Genomic DNA, 22,413 nt, shown 5'->3' on the forward strand with positions numbered 1-22,413 from the left:
TGAGTTATTTGGGTCAGACAGCTAGCAGGAGGCAAGGCAGGAATGAGCAAGGTGCCTGGTTCTGAAGTCTGTGCACTTGGCCAACATGTTAAACTTTCTTCTCATTACACACAGCAGTTAGACAATAAGTTGAGTTGTCAACTCCCTGGGTACCAGTGACTAGTTAGTTTATATGGTCTTATCAGATTTTATTAATTTTAGAGTGGACTGAGCATCATGGGAGTAGGCAGTTCAATGTTTCAAGCACAGCTCTAAGGAGTAAGCTTTCACAGAGATTTACGGAAGCCATTGCCTATATTTTAATATCCTTTATATTCCTTTCCAGTGCATTTTATTCTATCTACCACAATAATCTACATCTCATGACAAGCAGCTGAGGACACAGAAAAGAGAAAGAGCAAGCCTGTAAATGCAACCTTAAGGGATGGCCAGTTTGAAGATTGCTGTCTTTGGGGGGTCTCATTTTGATCTGTGAATCTTCTTGTGGATGTTTGGCATCATATCCGAAAAAAACATAAATGAATCTTCCTGGTTTTTCTACATTGAAGCCAAGAATATATTGCTTCACTTATGTCCATCAAACCCTAGTATTACAAAAAATGCTAAAGCACTTCTAACTATACCCTCTAAATGGAGACTGTAAAATATTCTGAGACAAAGGGAATTTGAACATTGTTAAGAATGCAGAATTTTATGCTGAAGAACAAAAGGAAGGGAAACATAGGCCAACCCGTTCAAAATCCTCCAAGTTCAGTTTCTAATATAGCTCACTCCATTTCTTTTTGAGTAACTCCAACCTTTCCAATGGAAATGTTATTTGTAATTTAAAAGGATTGTTAGAGCTGAGTCAGTGTTTTAGTATTCGTCAGTGTTTTTGGTTTTAAGCAAGAGAAATTGAATCGATCTGATTTCAGCAGAAAAGGAGCTCATTATACATACAGAGAGAGAGAGAATGGAAGGAGGAATTAAGTCTGATGAGGATGCTGCTGCCATGATGGCCACAGATGACACTGAATACCATCTTCACTGTGGTTACTAGATTCTGGATACAGCCCCTAGACACCCTGCCACTGCTGCCAATAAAATAAATTCTCCCTAAGCCCTGCGTTCTTGCATCACTGGCTCCTGATTCAAATTATCATGTGGGTGAACATGATTGGCTAACCTAGATTGTGTGTTCATATTCTAGCTGCAAAGGAGGCTGGGAAATTTATAATATGCCCTTGTTGGCTTATATAGTCAAAGGCTGGCTCTGCTTCCCTTCAAAATTTATGAGGTAGGAATTCCCCCTGATCATAGGGTTAGAGGAGTTAATATGCTGGTTGGCCAAAAATGTAACATTTTTTTCATATTCCACCTCTTGAGTTTTCCTAATAATATATTTTTTTCAAACTCTGTCACAGCCATGTGTTTTAAAGGCCATTACTTTTTTGTTTATTTATTTCAAGTCTTTAAAAAAAGTTTATGAAGTTCAAAATTATTCTTATACCATTCTTAAAAATCTATTCGAAGACTTTTTCTCTGGGCAGCTAGCATACTCCTAAGGCTGGGTACGTTAGGTTTCCAATCCAATAAGCTTTATTTTAGTTTTTGGGCCAAAAGGACTCATTTATACTTAGTTCAATCAGTCAGAAAAATCCATGCTTGCTAAAAAGGAAGGGAAAATCAAGCAAATGCAATTGACAGGACATCAAGATCTAAACAAATATCTACCACATAGATATCCTTTTATTTTGAATTGCAGTTCTCTGGCAACAAATGGTCCAAATATAAACAATTTAGTAGAAATTCTAGAAAGAAATTGCTTAGAATAGCAGGGACTTCATGCTCTTAAACAAGCCCTAAAAGAATCAGAACATGCCCTTCTTTGTTCAATTCCATGAAATCTGTTTAGAATCAAGCTGATGATCAAATCTCTTCAAAAGAGAACCCTGGGCATATCTATAGGTTGACATGGAAAACTCTTTCTCCTATGGAGTTAAAATGAATATATGCATATGTGTATATGTGTGTAAATGTAATTTTTTTTAGCAGAAATATTCATGTTCATTATTTTTAGATGTTGGCCATGCAGTATTTCTCATATATAAGACCAACAGATGGCTGAGTTAGGATCTAGTTGGTGAAATTTATTGGTCAAAATTTACAGTTGCGGTAGTGGATTGAACACACTCATCTATCTCCACTCTCTCCTGAAACCCAATTTAATAAGAAAAGACAGCAAAGAAAAAAAACTTAAAGTTTAAACCTAAACAGACAAATAGAATTGGAAAGAAGGCAACGATAGCTAAATTTGAGGTATCTAGAAAGCACAAGGATGAGTTTCTGACTTAGAAAGGCAGAAAAAGCTGAAACATAAATCAGAATGGATTGAGTAAATGAACAGGAAGCCGGTCTATTCACACTGCAAAACTCTAAGACGTTTCTATTGTGAGAGATGCTAGGAATTTTTGAAGACAGAGGTACAGATTTGGGCTAGAAAAAGATTGGTTGAAAGTCTTCATAAAGGATATTTAGAAACCAACATATACTTACCCTTCCTTGTTAGAATACTGGAGGTTTTCCTTTCAAAGATGACAGAACATACAGGCTCTAGGCTCAGAGACACCAAGTTTAACAAAGGACAAGTGTGAGCAGGGTACCCTTTAAATAAGAGCATGAAGGGTGAATAGGCACAGCGACTGTGAACATCCGTCCTCTTTCTGGATGATGGAGAAGTGGCTTAGATACGTGTGGAACATGGTAATCAGTATATCATAGTCACTGACGCTGGTAATAGTACTAGAGCAGGGTCCCAGTAGACCTACTGGCTCCCAGCTATACTTGCTATTGCTAGACAGTGATGAAATGGGGGGCCTGGGGCTTCTGTTGTGTGTGTCAATATTTTGAAAACTGCAATGGTCATAGCATTGAATACATGGTGAATAGCAACCCTAGTTATACCTCCAGGAAGATAAAATGGAAAATTGTTGTGGGTTAATGGATTGGCCTAATAGAAAAGAACCCAGATCCTGACATTTGAGGTTCCTAACAAAATGGCAAAATTCCTGCCTGATCACATTACAGTGAAGCCTACCAGGCAATAAATATTCTCTTCATGTTCATCACTTCCAATCTGTATTTTTGATGATGATGATGATAATTATTATTATTATATGAATGGCCAAAAATATCTAGGGATTAAAGAAAAGCCTACATTTGTATTTAAATAACCTATAGCAAAAGGGAAATGAGGAAAGAGAAACAGTTTAAAAAATGAAAGGAGACACTTTAAAAGCTGACTTCATATTCTCAGAGATATTTATTCACTCAAAAAAATTTGTGAAACATGGTGACAAATTCTATTCTAGTATTAGAATTATAACATTTAACAAAATAGACAAATATACTTCCTTATGGAGTTTATATAATGTATACTCCACTGTGCTAATTGTATATACTATAGACAACATACTAGAACCATGTTGCATAGCAATAAGAACAATGAAGAAAATACAGGAAAGGAAGGAAATGGAGAGTGATGGGGCAGATGACAGTGGTTACGGAGAGCTATTTTATACAGTGTACTAGGAAAGGCTGGAGTAACCAACATATAAATGATATTTAAAGCTATGGAAGTAAATAAGACTACATAAGAAGAAAATGTGGGTAGAGAAAAGAAGAGATCTGAGGGCCGAGTCTTGAGTACATCAACATTCAGAGAGTGAAAGAAGCAGAGGAGATGGATGAGAGATTGCATCCAGGAAAAAAAAGGAAGTTCTAAAAAAGGAATACAGAGAGTATAAGAAAGAACATTTGTGAATTAAAATTTGATAGCAGAAATAAAAAATTCAAAAGAGAGTTGAGAGACAAAGTTAAGTAAGTCTCTCAGAGAGGAGAACAAAAAGAAATGTAAAATGTGGAGGAAAGATCAGAAATGTAAAATATCACATTAGTGGTTTCATTGTCCAAATGACAGGCGTTTCAGGAAAAACAAACATAAAATGGAGGAGAGGAAATTAAGACAAGATTATGCAATGAATTTCCCAGAAGAAAGAATGCAAGTTTGTGGATTGAAGGGGTCTTCTGAGTTCCCAACACTATATATATACATAGGCATACACACAGACACACACACACAAACACACACACACACACACACACACACACACATATATATATATTTCTCGAGGCTGAGCTAATGAAAAGCTCAGGAATTAGAATGGCATTAAACATTTCAAAAATAAACTGGGATATAAAAGAAAATAGAGCAATGTCCTTTAAATTCTGAGGGAAACTAAATTTTGTATGCAGCTAAACTATCCATCAAGGGTAAGAAGACAAATAAAGATTATACATCTTCAGATATGTAAGACCTCAAAAATATTACCTTCCCCACAATGTTACTGGAATATTTGTTCCAGCAAAATGGGAACATAACTGTGAAAGAGGAAGACACTGGCCTCAGGAAACAAGAAACATACATGGAAGAATCAAAGGCCAATTTCAAAATCATGGTAAAAAGAGATCCCAGAACAACAGATTTGAGCAAGGCTAGAGAGCAACAAGTCAAGATTAGAGAAAAAAGGCAGAGGGCTCCACAGAAATGTATCTAAGAAAGAAAAAAATGTCTAACATAATGCCTGGCTTGCTTGAGCAGATATATACAATTCTGTCAGAATTGGGAAATAAATTTAATTATAGAATAATTAAAAATAAGAAAATAAGAGTAAGAAAAAAAGAAGAAAAATAAAATTATAAAAGAAAGTGTAATCTAGGACAATATATGACTCTACTATGAATATCTACTTAGTCTTAAAAATATCAACATCAATATTGATTGTACTGGACCCAGTTTGCATGACCCAGATTTGCTTGGCCTCACCTGCTCTTCACTGCCCACTCCATGCTTTTGCCCTTGCTCAGTGGAGAATACTAGCCACTAGGTTGTTGCCTCATCTCAGCCCCTCCCGGGGTGGGAGCAGGGCATCTGTGTGTATGCATCACAGCCCCCACAGGAGCCCTTGAACTCCAGGTTTAGGTCCACAGAGTCCCCCTCTCCTGTGACTGGTTGGAGGGCTGGGTCACACAACTTGCAAGTGTGGAGTAGTTAAGATTTTACGGGGCAAACTTTGATGACTTATGGGAAGGAGCTAACAAAGTCTTTACTCTTCTTCCTCTAGAACAGGGCATTTCTGTGGTTAAGCGGTTCCAGTCTCTCATTCTGGAAGCTTCTTATGTGGCCAAGTGTTGGCTAGGTTTCCTGTTAGGCTACAGCTGCTCAGTAATGCATCACCACTTGTATTTGCTTTCTTCTTTTTTCCCATACCTCCTACTCTTGTGTCTTGGAATGCACCCAATCAAGCCTTAGCATGTAAACTTTGTTTAAGCACTGTTTTCTGGGGAACATAGAATAACACATTGACAACCAAAAAGGGCCATGTAACTTTACTGAGAAGCTGAAGAGAGATAGAGAATGAGATTGGGAGAGAGAGAGAGAGACAGAGACAGACAGAGGAGGACATAAAGAATAAAATTCTCATCTTGTAGGAAATCAATACATAATAGTTAAAACAGAAAAATCTAGAAACAACAATATAATTATATATTATAATATGTAACGTGATTCAGAAGAATGGAGATTAGTGCCTAAAGAAATATCTAAATTAAAAAAAAAAAGTTCCTTCCAGAGAGTAAGAATCAGTGTGTGAAGAGGTATTAAAGAAATTTATGGGCCGGGCACGGTGGCTCACGCCTGTAATCCCGGCACTTTGGGAGGCCAAGATGGGCGGATCACGAGGTCAGGAGATCGAGACCATCCTGGCTAACACGGTGACACCCTGTCTCTACTAAAAATGCAAAAAAATTAGCCGGGCGCGGTGGCGGGCGCCTGTAGTCCCAGCTACTCGGGAGGCTGAGGCAGGAGAATGGCGTGAACCCGGGAGGCGGAGCTCGCAGTGAGCCGAGATCCCGCCACTGCACTCCAGCCTGGGCGACAGAGCGAGGCTCCGTCTCAAAAAAAAAAAAAAAAAAAAAAAACCTATGGTTTTCTTTATAAGCCTAGTACTACTATTGACTTTGAAAACTATGAATGTTATGGATAAAGCTGGAGGTCATTTTCCTACATGGAAAATTTCAGAAACAGAAATTAAATACCACATGTTCTCACTTACAAGTGGGAGCTAAACAATGGGTACATATGGAAGAAGGAAATGATAGACACCGGGGACTCCAAAAGTGGGGAAGATGAGGGTTGAAAAAAATACCTACTGGGTACAATGTTCACTATTTGGGTGATGGGTACGTTAGGAACCCAAACCTTGCCGTTACACAATATATCTATGTAATAAAAGTACGTATGTACCCCCTGAATCTAAAAGAAATCCAAACTCTGAATGTTAAAAAAATTAAGCACAAGAATATGTATTCAATATATATTGCAATTGTTCCATCTATTTTGAGTGCAATATAATGTAAACACAGGTCAGGAAAGAGCAGATCTTGAAATTTATATAGAAAAATATACAAAGTTGTACCAATTTTTTTGTTTTTGACAGTCTCGTTCTGTTGCCCAGGCTGGAGTGAAGTGGAGCGATCTTGGCTCACTGCAACCTCCGCCTCCTGGGTTCAGGCGATTCTCCTGCCTCAGCCTTCCAAGTAGCCGGGATTACAGGCACACACCACCACACCTGGCTAATTCTTTGTATGGTTTAATAGAGATGGGGTTTCACCATGTCGGCCCGGCTGGTCTCGAACTCTTGACCTCAGCAAAAATTTTTATAGTTACTAACTCTGAGTTGTGAAATTTCCAGTGCTTTTTTTTTTTAAGGTCTTTGAATATTTTGAACCGTGCTTGGGTTGTATTTATAAATAAGATGAGTAAGAAAGCTATTTTCCAACAAGAAAACGTTGGTCAGATGGATCAGGTATTCATTATAGTTCATAACATGAGAAAAGATATTTATTACATGTTTAAGATTATTTGTGAACTAAAATGTACTCTAAAACAAAAGCGTGATCTATGACATTTACCTAACACAGAACATGCTACCTTGTATTAGTTATTTTTTCAGTTGCATGTGTCTTGTCTCCTCAATGATAATGTAAGTTACCTTGAAGAAAGTGCTTCTCCTAGCTGCCTTTCTATCCTTCACAGTTCCAAGCAATTACAGGTGCACACACACACACAAACACACACACATGCATAAAGAAAATATATAGATAAAGACCATGTTGAAAGTTAGATATAAGCTTGTCAAGTTCACAACCTATAAGTAAAATGATTTTTTTTCTAAGGATGAAAGGAGTAATGGAAAAAGGAAAGGAAGTAATTATAAGTGGTGGTGCATTACTGAGTGGCTGACAAGAAACCTAGCCAACCATTGGGCCACATAGCAGCCTCCAGAGTGGAAGACTGGAACCATTTAACCTCAGAAATCCCCGTTCCAGAGGAGGAAGAGTAAATAATTTTTTAGCTCCTTCCCATGCCCTGTTTTTCATAAGTCATCAAAGTTTGCCCCATAAAGCCTTCAAGCCTAGGATGGTTGATTTTATGTGTCAACTTGACTGGACCATGGAATGCCAGGATATTGAGTCAAACATTACTCTGGGTGTGTATGTGACAGTGTTTCTGGACAAGATTAACATTTGATCAAAGTAGATTACCCTATCTAATGTGAGTGGGCCCCAACCAATCAGTTGAGGGCCTGAATAGAACAAAAAGTCTGACTCTTTGTAAGTAAGAGGGAATTCCTTCTGCCTGATTGCTTGAGCTGGGACCTTGGTCTTTTTCTGCCTTTGGACTTGAACTGAAACATCAGCTCTTCTCGGGTCTTGAACCTAGAGGCTTTCAAAATGGCTGAGAAATCCCAAGCTTGAGAAGCTTATACCATGAGCTCTCTTGGGTCTCCAGCTTGCCAACTGAAAATCTTGGGACTTCTCAGCCTTCATAATCATGTGAGCTAATTCCTTATAATAGATCATTATATCTATCTACCTACCTACCTACCTAACTACTGACTGACCGATCTACCTAGATGGATATAATCTCCTGTTGGTTCTATTTCTCTGGAGAATTCTGATTAATACAATGTCCTTATATTAAGGTGACTCATGGTCATTCAAGCATCTTGGGCTGCAGCCTCTTTGTCATTGTCATCCTAACTATAGATTATTTCAAATATGACAACAAACTCCAACTCCTTATACTTTCAAGGGTAACAGTATAGAAGCAACTCTGTATGCAGAAATGTCTTTGACAAGAAGTTACTCCAACTAGTTCTGTCTAGGGAGCAGTACGAATGCTCTCAGGATGGATGTTACTGGTTTATAGACTCAACACACAGGACATTTATCAAGCACTTGCAATGTGCAAACCATTGTGCTAGGTTTTGTGAAGTCTGCCAAGATGAGTAAGTTCCTGAGTGTCTGTGGACCACCAAGGCTGGAAATATAGCGTATAGTATGGCAAATTATGCTGTACTTATTTTTTCAATATGCCATCTTTATAGTCTCTCTTTCAATGGGTATGATTGAGGCATGACTCATGAATGTCTATCTTCTCCAGAAAGGAAAGCATCTTTTTGTGACAAGATGAAAAACTGAGCATCTGTTTTCAGGTTAAGATTTACATATCATGGTCATGTGATTGCAATGGATTTTTATGAGTTTGAAAATGTTGCCCTAATTTCTTCAACAGGTCTTTCATAGTTATGAGTAATCAAAAAATACATTTCTCTCAACTACAGAATATATGACTCACAAAAAATGAAAACTTCTGTTTTACCGCTTAGTGCCAATCATATGAACTATTGGAAAATTTACAATTCTATGTCCAGCCAATGAAAATCTATCCCAGACATATAGTTAATCGGTTTATTTTTCACTCCATAACATATTCCAGAATCTCTTAGGTTGCTTTTCGTGGTAAGCAATGTGATCATGTGGTGTCTAATGTTAATGTAACCTCATATTTTTCCTAGAAACTAAATATTTGGTTCACATATAGACTAAAATAAATTTGGCTAATTAAAAAAACAACAAGCAAATAAAATGAGAAGCACATATAAAGCAAAATAAAACAAGTGGAATTCTGTTTTGTCTTTTTATTTCATTTCTGGTGATTTTCAATCAGAATTAAAGTATTTTTTTAATCAAAGGGTAAATAACTGGTACAGCCAGAACCCCAACTTCAGGCAGCATCAACAAGCCACTCGAGCCTGGTAACAGAATAAAAGGAAAAAAGTGAGTTAGGTTGGAGAATTTCCATTTCCACAGTGATGTTATTTCTGTATCTGTCTTCCTCTTGCCACCAAATTGTAGACCATTGCCCCTTAAATGTAGACATGACAACAAATATTTGTTTTGTTAATTCTCAGTTTTAATGTATAGTTTATGTAGAGGAAGGCAGTCAACATGAGGCATTCCTGGTAATAGTTATCAAGGCATATTGAAAAATAGCTTTTTATAAAACATTTTTAGCAAATGAAATTAAAAAAAGTATGGGTATAACTTCACAGTGCATGGCTTTCATTGAATCAATCCCATTAGCATTAGTATTTCTGTAAAGTGCACTCCATGCCCAAGGCACCTCAATTTTCAGTGGACTTGAACATGAGCAGCATTTTTTTATACAATTCTGTAATTGTTCTGCATATGTTAAAATTAAGTTAAAACTTTACATATAAATATTTTTACCTATATGATATATATAATTTGTGTGTGTATATATACACACATATATACATTCTTTCTCCCTCTGTGTGTATATATATGATCACCAAAAATGAAATAAAAAAAGAGGGAGAGAGAGAAAGAAAAAGAGAAAGAGAATAAAAACATATCTGATTTCATACAGATTTCTAAGGGCTTAAGATTTCTCTTCATGTCCTTATGGAGGATAAAGTATTAGCAACAGAAATTTAGTACAGATTTCTTTCAATTCTGTTTTTTCACTTTTGAAATAAGCTTTATGCTGGATTATTGTTTATTTCTTTTGAAGCCCTCTACCAATGTCACAAATCTGAAGGAATCTGTTCTCTTTCTCACTGTGCATGTCTAATTATAGGTATTACATATAGTGCAAGTATGCTAGTCTTGCACTCAAAATACTGCGTGACTCGGCTGTGTGCAGTGGCTCATGCTTGTAATCCCAGCACTTTGGGAGGCTGAGACAGGTGGATCCCCTGAGGTCAGGAGTTCAAGACCAGCCATGGCCAACATGGCAAAACCCTTTCTCTACTAAAAATACAGAAATTAGCTGGGCGTGATGGTGTGCACCTGTAGTCCCAGCTACTTGGATGGCTGAAACAGGAGAATCACTTGAACCCGGGAGATGGAAGTTGCAGTGAGCCAAGATCATGCCACTGCACTCCAGCCTGGGTGACACAGTGAGATGCTGTCTAAAAAAAAAAAAAAGAAAAAAGGAAAATACTATGCAATACTGTGTGTCTCCAGAAGAGACCTTTAGCATTTCTATCTCTCCCTTTGCTTATGAACTGGAGATGGTAACTTCTAATTCTCTGGGTTGTTTTGACACTTGATTGAGTCCATGAGAATGCTTTGTATATCTCAAGCAAGTTCTAATCCAGCCAGAGACATTACCATTACTTTTCATGATGGTAAGTGATTTTGATCCATTTGTGACCATTAATAGCATTTTATAGATTAGACATCACCTCAACCAACCTTGAAAACAGCCTCTTGGATACTTGCCTGTCTTTGCAGATCTGGGCAGTAGAGAACATGTAGGCAAGCAGTGAAACAGTCTAATTCATAACCATAAAATTCTAAAACAGAAGAGTCCTAAGAGATTATTGTGTCTTTTTTATTGTGCTAAGTATCTTTGGGTCTACAATAATGGGTAGATGATTTTGAAATTCCTACTTACAAGGCTGATCTGTGACAAATATTAGATGGCAAGTTCCTCTTCATTATAATAGGGCTGCACAATCTTTTAAAAATATAATCATAATTTTTTTTCATTCTCGTAGACAAAACAATATTCTAAGCAAACAGCCCTAAGATTCTTTGGCTTCTACTTCCATACCTCCCCACCCCTTTCCTTTACTCCGAACCAGCCCTCTGTGTAGGAGGAGTTATATGTTTCTTTACCACCAAGAGAATACTGACATTGATTCAAATCATAAGTAGCTAGAAGCTGAATCTCATACAACTCTTCAAGATTATTCCATGATCATGTGTAATTTTTGTGTGAAATGACTCGAGTAAAATTAAATTAGTTTCTAAATAAATAAAAAATAAAGTTTAAACTAAAGTTAGAGTTAGAAAAATATTTTTTTTCACACTATAGCTACAAAATTACACTATGGAAACATTAAATACTACATTATGTCTACCGTGAGAAATAGAAGTGTAGCAGAGATTGCAAACGTGGATTCAAATTATGACTCTACCAATTTCTAGCTATGTGACTGTGGTCTCAGTTTCCTAACCAATAACAGCACTGGTTGCAGTCTAACAGCTTAACAATAACAGTACCCAACTGACAAAGACGCCGTGGGGATTCAGTAGATCAATACCTGTAAAGAACTGAGAACATTACCATAATAAATATTGGCATTTATCATCATCACCATCATCATCATTCTACTCCCTTTTAGAAAGGGAAATCTTAAATGCCCAATATACAAACTAATCATCTTCTTTCTCTACAAATTGAAGGTTGCATTTCAACCAAATAATCTTTTATGTAAGTAAGAAGCAGTTATAGGCACAGTAACACAGCTGGTGATCTCTGTTTCGCTGTGTTCTAGCACACTGAGAAAGCAAAGTAGTGGACCTGGCTCATTAAGCTAGACTATGTTAAAAAAACTCCAAAGCACTACACTGATTTGTCTTCAACTTACAAAAACATTTATTTAAAGGACTCAGACAAAGAATAGGGCTTAACAAGTGAAAACTGGAATAGCAGACAGGCTAATAGGTAAAAGTTGAAGCAGATTCCTTTCCCTGTGTAAAGCCAACATTAGGAATAACAAGGAGAGTAGAAAGTGTTGAAATTAAGTAAGTGGGTGCCAGGGCTCATTCTCAGGGCCCTGAATTTTGGGTCAGTTCATGAGGTGCTGGAAGTTTGGTACTCCATAAAAAGTCCGATAGGTCACTAAATAACTCTCTACTTTCTTGGCCAGGCACGGTGGCTCACGCCTGTAATCCCAGCACTTTGGGAGGCCTTGGTGGGTGGATTACCAGAGGTCAGGAGTTTGACACCAGGCTGGCCAACATGGTGAAACCCCATCTCTACTAAAAAAAAAAATTAGCTGGGCGTGGTGGTGGATGCCTGTAATCCCAGCTACTCAGGAGGCTGAGGCAGGAGAATCTCTTGAAGCCGGGAGGCAGATGTTGCAGTGAGCCAAGATCATGCCACTGTACTCCAGCCTGGGCAACAGAGCGAGAGACTCTATCTTAAAAAAACAAATAAACAAACAAACAATAACTCTCTACTTTCTCTCCAGACCTGGTCACCCTGAGCTATGCCAGAGAAGTGGTCGGCATTGTATTAAATAATAACTCTATCTAGCACTGCAAGATTTTAGTGGCAGAAGTACATGAAATATAGATTTTTGGCTAAATGTTCAAGCAAATATTAAGCCCAATCCAGTGCTAAATAGAACACCATCACTAGGGTGACCAACTCCTTCCTGTTTGCCCAGGACTTTTCTGATTTTAGCAGATAAATTCCATACCTGGGAACCCCCTCAGTCCCAGGCAAATGAAAATAGTTGGTCACTCTAACCATCATAGAATGAATATCTGGATAGAAAAAATCCGAAATATTATAAAAATGTTAGTTGTTAAAATTTTCAGGAGTCAAAATTTGAAAGTTTGACCTAGTAAAGGAACAATAATTTCTCAGTACTATTAGCTGCACATTTATTAATTCAACTGCACACTGGGGATGGGAACAGATATTTACCTTCAACTGAGGTCACTGGAGAAATAAGATCTTTTTGGCTAACACTGCCAATACAGGTAACTGTTCAAGATGGAGCTGCAATCAGGATGTTAAGCTTTCTGTATTTTCTTAGGGTGATAAAACTGAGGTGAAAACTTACTTCCTCTTCAACTCCTGGTCTTGATAATTTAGTCAATGATGATGGTGCAATTTCACTGAGGCAATCCCCAAAACCAAATATTTCTCTCTCTAGTTAACTGTTTGAAAAAATCTAATTTTTATGTATAAAATTAACTGGTTTCACAACATTAATTATTGCAGCGTTTTACTCTGAATTCAACTGACAGAATCTCAAAAACTAATGCATACAAGGAGATTTTAATCCTACCTATATCTAAAATGGTGATCCACATTTGAAAGTGAATATTATGCAATCACAACACATCCAGACGACAACACATCCAGATGACATGATCTGTTTTTATTGCTGATATTGATACATTATTTAGATATGAGAGTAACATGCAATGTTATGATCATTGATCACCCGTGATTTCAGGAATGCCAGGAATGATATTGCACTTAGGCATTTTGCTATTTGAGCTTTCAAAGGCTGAGGCTGCAGCCAAAGCTGAGGAGCAGATATTGGCTAAATTCCAAGATTAAAGTCATATGTTGGTAATTGTCCATTTGGAACCACTGACCATGAGCTGAAGAAGCCTTCTGAAGCCAAATCCCTGTGAACTTCCATAAGCGGTGTCCACTCTTGAATGCTTTTCACACTGCTTCTACCGTTGACTGGCCCACTTGCTCATTCATCATACCTGAGGGCATTCAGTAGGGGATCCCCAAGGACTAGGGTAACTGAGCCAAGAGCTCACTGAGTGCAAATTCAGAAGGCTAAATTGATTATAGGATTACACAAGCATGCACAGAGCAGTGCACATGTAATGTGTGTATGTGTGAAGCATGTGTGATGGAAAATTTTATGTGTCAACTTGACTGGGTTAAGCAATACCCAGATAGCTGGCAAACATTGTTTCTGAGTATATCTATCAGGGTGTTTCTGGAAGAGATTAGGTTATGAATCAGTAGGCTAAGTAAAAAAGACCAGCCTCACCAATACGGGCAGGCAATCCATTAAGGGCCCAGATAGAACAGAACAGCAGAGAAAGGGCAAAATTGCTCTCTTTTTTGGAGCCAGAGTATCCATCTTCTCCTGCCCAGAGCTCCAGGTTCTTGGGCTTTTAGACTCTGAAACTCATACCATCAACACTGCCTCCCCGCAGCCCCAGGCCTCTGGTCTCCAGCTGAACAACACCACAGCAGCTTTCCTGGCTCTTCAGTTTGCTGATGGCATATTATGGGGCTTTTTGGCTTCTAAAATCATGTGGACTAATTCCCACAATAAATACCTTCTTATATATTATATCTGTATATATCCTACTGGTTCTGTTTCTCTGGAGAATGCTACCTAATCCTGAATGTTAGCAGACATTTAAAAATATCAGAGTTCCATAGGTGGGAATTGAAAAATGAGAACACTTGGCCACAAGGTGGGGAACATCACATACTGGGGCCTGTCCTGGGGTTGGGGGAGGGGGGAGGGGGGAGGGATAGCATTAGGAGAAATACCTAATGTAAATGATGAGTTAATGGGTGCAGCAAACCAACACAGCACATGTATACATACATAACAAACCTGCTCGTTGTGCACATGTACCCTAGAACTTAAAGTATAATTTAAAAAATTAAAAAAATGCACCTGGCATATAACAGTGCTTAATAAAAACTTTTAAGTGTATAGCTCAGTAGTACTAAGTACAATTACATTGTTGTACAACCATCACCACTATCCATCTCCAGAACTTTTTCATCTTCACCAAACAAAACTCTCTACCCATTGCACAATATCCCTCCTGGCTGTGGGGAGAGAAGAACAGGGAGATATTGCATAACGGGTACAGATTTCTGTCTCTGAATATGACTACTCTAGGTAGCTCATATAAGTGGAATCATACATTAATTTTTTTTGTGATTGGCATGTCAGCATAATGTCTTCAAGGTTCATCCATGTTGTACCATGTGTTAGAATTTCCTTCCTTAAGTCTGAATAATATTCCATCGTATGCATATACCACATATTTTTTATCCTTTCTTCTATTAATGGACACTTGGGTTGCTTCTGCCTGTTGTCAATTGTGAAGAATGCTGCTATGAACATGGATGTACAAAGAGATGATCAACCCTCGTCTTTATTTCTTTTGGATATATACCCAGAAATGGAACTGCTGAATCATATGGTCTAACTTGCTTTTGATGAAACTTGGAATTGTTCGTTTCACAAGCCTAGTATGTAGAAAGCCAGATATGACTAGTGTGCCCCTGCTTTTCTCTGTCTCTTTTATGGCAGAACCTGCTATTCCCAGGAACAATCCAGGGGCACCCTTGCACCCTCCAACTTCAACTCCTTTTCCCTTTTTCTATGGCTCTTCAGCATTGATTCCATCCACAGGTCCAGGCTTCTTTCAAGAACTAAATGTTAAATGTTTTTGGAATAAATTTTACATCTTAAGTATGGCAAACATCTTCAACAAAGTTGTAGTTTGCTCTTTAAAACTTATGTTGTCTTTTCGTTTCATTGAAAATTAAAATTTACTACAGTTTCATCAAGCTTTTATGATTTTTAAAGCCTTATTTAAAAAAATTCTTAACTATATGAAAATTATTTTTATGAAGTTATCTTTCTCATTTAGGTTTTTATATGGAATTGATTGTGTTCTATACTGATAATTGAGTTTCTTGAGGTTAATTATAGAGTATCTTATCCCTTAGCCACTGATCTTCAATATGCAGACTCTCACAAATCAAATTTTTGAGCATCCTTATTATTTTAGGAGGTCTCTATTCTGTTCCAAGAATCTGTTTTTCTAACTTTGCATTAATATCATGTTTTTTATGTATAAACTTTATAATAAATCTTGATATTGGTTAGGGCACTTTCCTGTACCATGTTCTTCTTTACTATTATATTGGCTATTGTTCATTTGCTATTCTCTGACAAATATATAATTAGACTGTCAAGTTCTATAAAAATTCCTATAAGAACTTTTGTAGAGATTATATTAAAATATAAACCAATTTTGAGATAATTACATCTTTATGATTAGTCTTCTATATCAAGATTATAGTTTGTTTTCTTTAATATATGTCAATAAAATGTTTTAATTTTGGCTAGAAAAGAAAAAACAGAGCTAAAGTTTTAGTCATTTAAGTTTCTGAAAACCTTCCTTAAGTTTTCCTGTAAGACTGGAGCCCCACTTTTACGGTTTGAATGAATGTGTCCCTCCAAAATTCATGTGTTAGAATTTAAACCCTAAGGTATTAAGAGATGGGACCTTAGAAGAGGGAGCACCCTAGTGCCTTTTGCTCTTCCATCCCTTCTGCCATACGAGGACACACAGTATTTGTTCCCTCTGGAGGATGCATCAATAAGGAATCATCTTGGAAGCAGAGAGTCAGAACTTATCAGACACCGAAGCTGCTTATGCCTTGATCTTGGACTTCCCAGCATCTAGAACTGTGAGAAATAAATTTCTATTATTTACAAGTTACCCAGTCTAAGGTATTTTGTTATAGCAGCAGGAACAGACTAAGACACCCACCCTGCCAGGCATGGACTAATTCCCTTCCCTGATTCTGCATGTGAATTAGATAGGAATGATAAACCTAAGGGCCTGTACCTGTGTGTAGGGTCTTTGGGACTATGTTGAACTGGGTGTTGTGTTTAGCTAAATTGGCAAATGTAAATTGCAATCAAGAAAATAATCCAGAACTGTGAGTAACAGCAGCAGAAACAAGTATCAGGATTGAGGCCTGAAGCAAAACCAGGTGCAAGAAATTATTCAAGCTACCAGAAGTCAAGATAATCAGAAGCAGATGAGTCAGTAGAGTGAATGTTGAGTTGAAACAAACAGTTGAAAGGTGCAACAAATTAAAGTTTTCAGGGTTTTTTTTGGTGGTATCTACCCCAAGGCTAAAATTAGGTAATGCATCTGAGTTCTGGACCTTGCTTCTGTATCCTACTTCTGCTGTTGAGGGCAGAGAAATCTTAATACTGTGAATGTAGAGAACTCCAGAATGACAATTGCTCCCTGCTAGACCCCAAAATTTCAACCACTGCCTGACATTACTGTTTCCTTAGTCAAAATGTGAACTGGAATACTCTCCCCAGCTCAATTACAAGAAAGCTGTGTCTGTTTCAGGCTTGGTTGTGGGTGGAAATAATCCTGTCCTAAACATTAGTAACCAGGGACTTGGATCTTCTCTGGCTCAAATTTATATTACCTCTGTATTCTGGACACTTCTGAGCCAAGAAATTAGATAAAAAGGTAGTGTAAGCTTATAATACCCTGTGGTACTTTGCAGAAACAAAGGTAAAATCTCATTCTAAGCCACTCGTGAGTCCTATTACCAACAGGTGATGTATAATGAGATGATGATTTGGGAGATTTCAGGAATTGATAGAATACTTCAGATTAAAAAGAATGACATTTTTCATTATGTTGCTAAACGGTTCACATAAGATTCCCACAATGTTTTTTTCAATATAATCACAACGGAAAAGTCACAACAGACAAATTCACATCCTGTCCAAACAACAATGGTTATATCATCCTTTTTGTTTTTGTTACCCACAAATTAAAACAAACTTTTTGTTCAATTAAATTTATTAAGTAGTTCATTTCAGGTAACAATAATATCTAATAGTTCTGTTCTCTTCTTTATATATACATGGATCAATGTAGATATGCATACAATTTATTGTACTTTGAATTATGTTTCATGCTGAAAACTTTTGTAAAGAGGAAAGGAAGGAATTATGAAGTGAGGGAAATGTCTGAATGGAATTGGTGCTTAATGTGGTTTGGCTCTGTGTCCCCACCCGAATCTCATCTCGAATTGTAATCCCCACGTGTTGAGGGAGGGACTTATAATCTGCACGTGTCAAGGGAGGGAGGTGATTGGATCATGAGGGCAGTTTCCCCCATACTTCTCTCATGATAGTGAGTCTCATGAGATCTGATGGTTTTATAAGTGTCTGGCATTTCTCCTGCTGGCACTCACTCCCTCCTGCCACCTTGTGAAGAAGGTATCTGCTTCCTTTTCACCTTTCACCATGATTGTAAGTTTCCTGAGGCCTCCTAGCCATGCTTCATGCTAAGCCTGCATAACTGGGAGTTAAATAAACCTCTTTCCTTTATAATTACCCAGTTTCTATTCTTTTTTTTCTCTACATTTTGTTTATTGAGACAAACTAATTAAAAGGCACAAACATAGGGCATGTTTACATGGACATTATAACAAACATATACATTAAAAGTGTAGGAATGTGTTGCCTTCCTGCTAAACAGAAAGTTCCTAAGCTTTTATATATACAAAAGTTGTATAATTTAATGTCCTAAAGTACAAAAGATCATTTATAAAATTATTTTACACTAAGTACTATTTATTTTATTTTTTTGCTATGTAGTTCAACCCCCTAGAACTGTTTTGTGTAACGACACACAGATACCTGTCCCTGAGGTAGGAAGTCTGTCTCAGATGCAAGGTATTTTGATGCTTGAACTGACACAGTAGGGTATAAACGGAAATCATCCAGTTTGATAGTCAGTCCTGCAAACATTCTGCAAGATTAACACAACTAATTTCCATTTCTCTTAACTGCAATGATTAAAAAATGAAAAAAACCAAAAACATATTGCAACTTAAAAAAAATCACAGCGTCTTGGTTTTAGTTAACTTTTTTTTTTTTAACACAATGCTTTAAAAACAATGTGTGGCATGATGGTATAAAGAGTATCTGTTTCCCTAGCTTTTGGTTTCTACTTTATGTACAGAGATAAAATACCCTGCTAAGAAATAAAAAGCACATGTCTCAACGTGCACAATCATTGCTGGGTTTCTACAGGGAGTGCAGACAGCTGTCTCCCTGAAAACACCACAAAGCTGATACAAATGTTTTCTCAAAAAAAGAAAAAAAGTGATGTCCATATTTACAAAGTTGAACAAATCTGCGCAATACTTAAGAAACAGAAGGAGAAATTTTAAAAAAGATACACTCTGCATGTTCTGAAGGGGCATATACTACCTAGTTAGTGGTTAGAATAAAAACTATACAATTTAATATAAGACATAAACTCTAGTGAGCAACTAACACATCTGTCTCTGTTGTAACATCAACAGGCTCTGATTGGGAGACAGAGGGGCATATCACATCCCAGTGCCTCCAGAGTCTTCCAATTTAAAGCAATATATTTGAACTGTTCCAAAGTACTCCTTGGCTCCTAAACAGGAGTCCCACTGGCCTCTGTTTGTTAGGAGCCTGCCTGTCCACACACTTGACTTCTCCTCTGTCAGCTGAGGCTTTTCTTAGCAAAACACAATTTGCAGATTTAAAAACAATTTTTTTTTTTTAAAAAGTCAACTACAATGCTATATTCCATTGGGATTAATATGCTGAGCAATATTTACATCTCCAAATATCAGGTCACAATCCCTATTATATGTTGAAGTTAGAATGATAAATTATATGTTTTGCATATCAGAGCTGGTATCACTTTTCCCACAGGGAATGCTGCCTGAAATTAACATATTCCCAAGGGTAAAATGCATATTCTCTGAAATGCATTTTATTATGACAATGCATGTATTTACTCATAAAAACAATAAACACAGACAATTCTACACTAGCTCTCAATCTGTGGATTTAGAATTTCAGGTTAAAATCAGCCATCCACCTTGTATAGGGAGAAGAGTTCTGCTAGTGTTTACAATAAAGTGATTCCTTTGAATTAGAAATAGTAATGCTGTTTTTTTTTTTATTTTGAAGTGGGTTCTACTTATTTATGATTGGTTTTAATTCTGGCATTTCATCTTGCCAACTACTATCCTGTTTAAGCAATGTTGTCAGCTAAAAGGAATTTCTGATTAAACTAAAGTGGTCCAGTGATAAGTTACATACACACCCTACTTTGAATAATCCCAGCCAAATTGGAGAAAAATGCTACCACACTCTTATTAACTAATGTAATAAAATCTCCCAATTTCATGGTTTACTTTTTGCTTTAATCAACTAAAAGTTAAGTTGCTGGTAAATATTTACTTTAACCTATATTTTGATTTTATAATACTGTTTACCAAGGCGGTGATGTAGGCAAAGCTTGGGACAAGGAAGACATGCTCTCTACATGTCTCACTGCTATATTGAGAGGGGCGGCTAATGTCATAGGCATGGGCAGATTCATTGGAGATGTGATGGTGACAGGGTGTGCTATATTCTCTGGGGCAGTGACGGGGTGGGGAGGTTGATCTGGGTAGTGAGTGTTAAAGGAGAGGTCATGGATAGTGGACTGGTTATAGTTACAGGATGCCCTATGTTCATTGGACTGGTTATGTTAACTGCCCTTGAAACATTTACTGAACTTCTCATGCTCATTGCAGCTGCCAGTGTGACTGGGTTTGACATAGCCCCAGACGACACAGAGGATGTTATATTGAATGGCGTAGTGAGAGTCACAGGTGTTGTAGCAGCCGTGGAGGTTTGGCACAGGTTAGCAGCTTCTTTCTTCCTTGCTTTAACAGCTTCTTCCCACAGTCTCAGTGTTGCTACCTGCTTCCCTGGCCAGCTTGTCACATGTTGTTGTTGCTGTTGTTGCTGCTGCTGCTGCTTTTGGTTACTGGTCTCTTCACTCATGCTTGTTTTACTGATGCCTTGTTTACATGTATTGCAGTTGATACTTTGGCTCTGCCCATGAGTCTTTAAGTGGCTGGTGATGTATGCTGCACTCAGGAGCTTCCCACAGATGTTACATGATACCTTGTCTTCGTGGCGCACCATGTGTGTCCGCAGTCTGTCTTTGGCGGCAAAGGCAGCAGTGCACGTTTGGCATTTGAAGGGTCTTTCTGTTGAATGGACATGTTTTACATGACAGCTTAAGGGGTCAGGTCTTGAGAAGCCTTTCCCACAAACACTGCAAGTATAGGGTTTGGTGATTCCTCCTTCATGAGACCTCACACGGTAAGTCATCCGGTCCTTCCTCTTGAAGCGCTGATTACAAATAGGACACTCGAAGGGCTTCTCATCTGAATGGGAGAGCTTGTGCCGACTGAGATGGTACACATCTCGGAAGGCCTTCCCACACATTTCACAAGCCTGGTTCTTCTTGACAGGCTTGCTGGGTTTCTTGACAGATTGAGTCACCGGCAGAGCTGTGGTGCTGGCACTGCTACTGGGGTTGGTGCCCGAGGAAGATGTAGTGACTGTTGACAAGATGCCTGCAATGGTCGAGACCAACGAAGTTCGGCTGCTGTCCCCAGCCATGGTAGAGATAAGGGGAAACACCGTGGTGGGGGTTTTCTTTGGCTGGGACACCACCTTGATCCCTGTGTGGCAGGATTCATGGCGCCTCAGGTGATAGCTGTCCCTGAAAGCTTTACTGCAGTAAGTGCACACAAACGAAGTTTTGGGTTTTTATTTTTTAATCCCAATGGCATCCTTTAATGTTTCTGGTGAACCCTGAGGTTTCTGAGTTATCGGTATTGGAAGCAATGGTTTCTGATCAGGGGGCTCCACGGCAGAGCTCAGGAGGAGCAGCAAGCTGTTCTGTGCTGCCTGCTGTTGGTGATGGGAAGCTACCTGGGCTGCCATTTTACCAATTCAGATGTTTGTGGCAACATAAAGTATTTTTACAGCATTGCTGAAGCTCACTCTCACACAAGGGTCACACCAGGTCCCTGATTCTTGGGTGAAATGCTGTAGAACCACTGCAGGAATCGCTCTCTGAGGATTCCTAGGATCCCCACACTTCTACATGAAGCCTTCCAAGGGGGAACTGGGTTTTCAAAAAATGTTCTCTGGAACAGGAACGAGGTCCAGTTGGCCTCCATGGCTGCGACGGCCGACCCCCCCTCCTCCCCACTCCCCCCGCTCGGGGAGCCTCCTCAGCCAGAGGAGGTGACAACAAAGCAGTGGCGGCGGTGGCTCCCCAACATCCGCAGTTTCTATTCTTTATAGCAGTGTAAGAATGGACTAATACAGTACTGTTAATATTTCCGGATCCTCTCATTTATAAGGCCCTGAATACTCTGCAACTAGGATTTGAAACTACAGTTCTGGGCCCCTTAGAACCTCTCGAGGTAGAGTCTCTACCAGGTATTCTAAATTATCTCATTCATATTTCTTCTTACTTCTTGCCTCAAAGCTGCCTCTTTGCTTAGATTCTTCAAATCAGTTCTTCAGTTGGACTTTTTGTATGAGTTTTCATATTGATTTTAGATACTCTTTTTCAGGTAACTCTGGGATCTATAATTCAGTATCTCCTGCCTCAGCTCAAAACACTAACTTCAAGGTATTTATCAGGAGGACAGTTATAATTAGGAAAATTAAATGACAAATTGAATAAAAGACTGATTACTTTCTTGTTATGTTCTTAAAATTATTTAACACATCTGCAGAGTCA

At 38.1% G+C, this 22,413-nt stretch overlaps 1 pseudogene; it reads right to left on the bottom strand.

Moving 5' to 3' along the window:
* VEZF1P1 (vascular endothelial zinc finger 1 pseudogene 1) lies at nucleotides 18,170-21,932 on the bottom strand (annotated as a pseudogene).

This window comes from Homo sapiens, chromosome 3 (genome assembly GCF_000001405.40).
Source record: "Homo sapiens chromosome 3, GRCh38.p14 Primary Assembly".
In the NCBI taxonomy this organism is placed as follows: domain Eukaryota; kingdom Metazoa; phylum Chordata; class Mammalia; order Primates; family Hominidae; genus Homo; species Homo sapiens.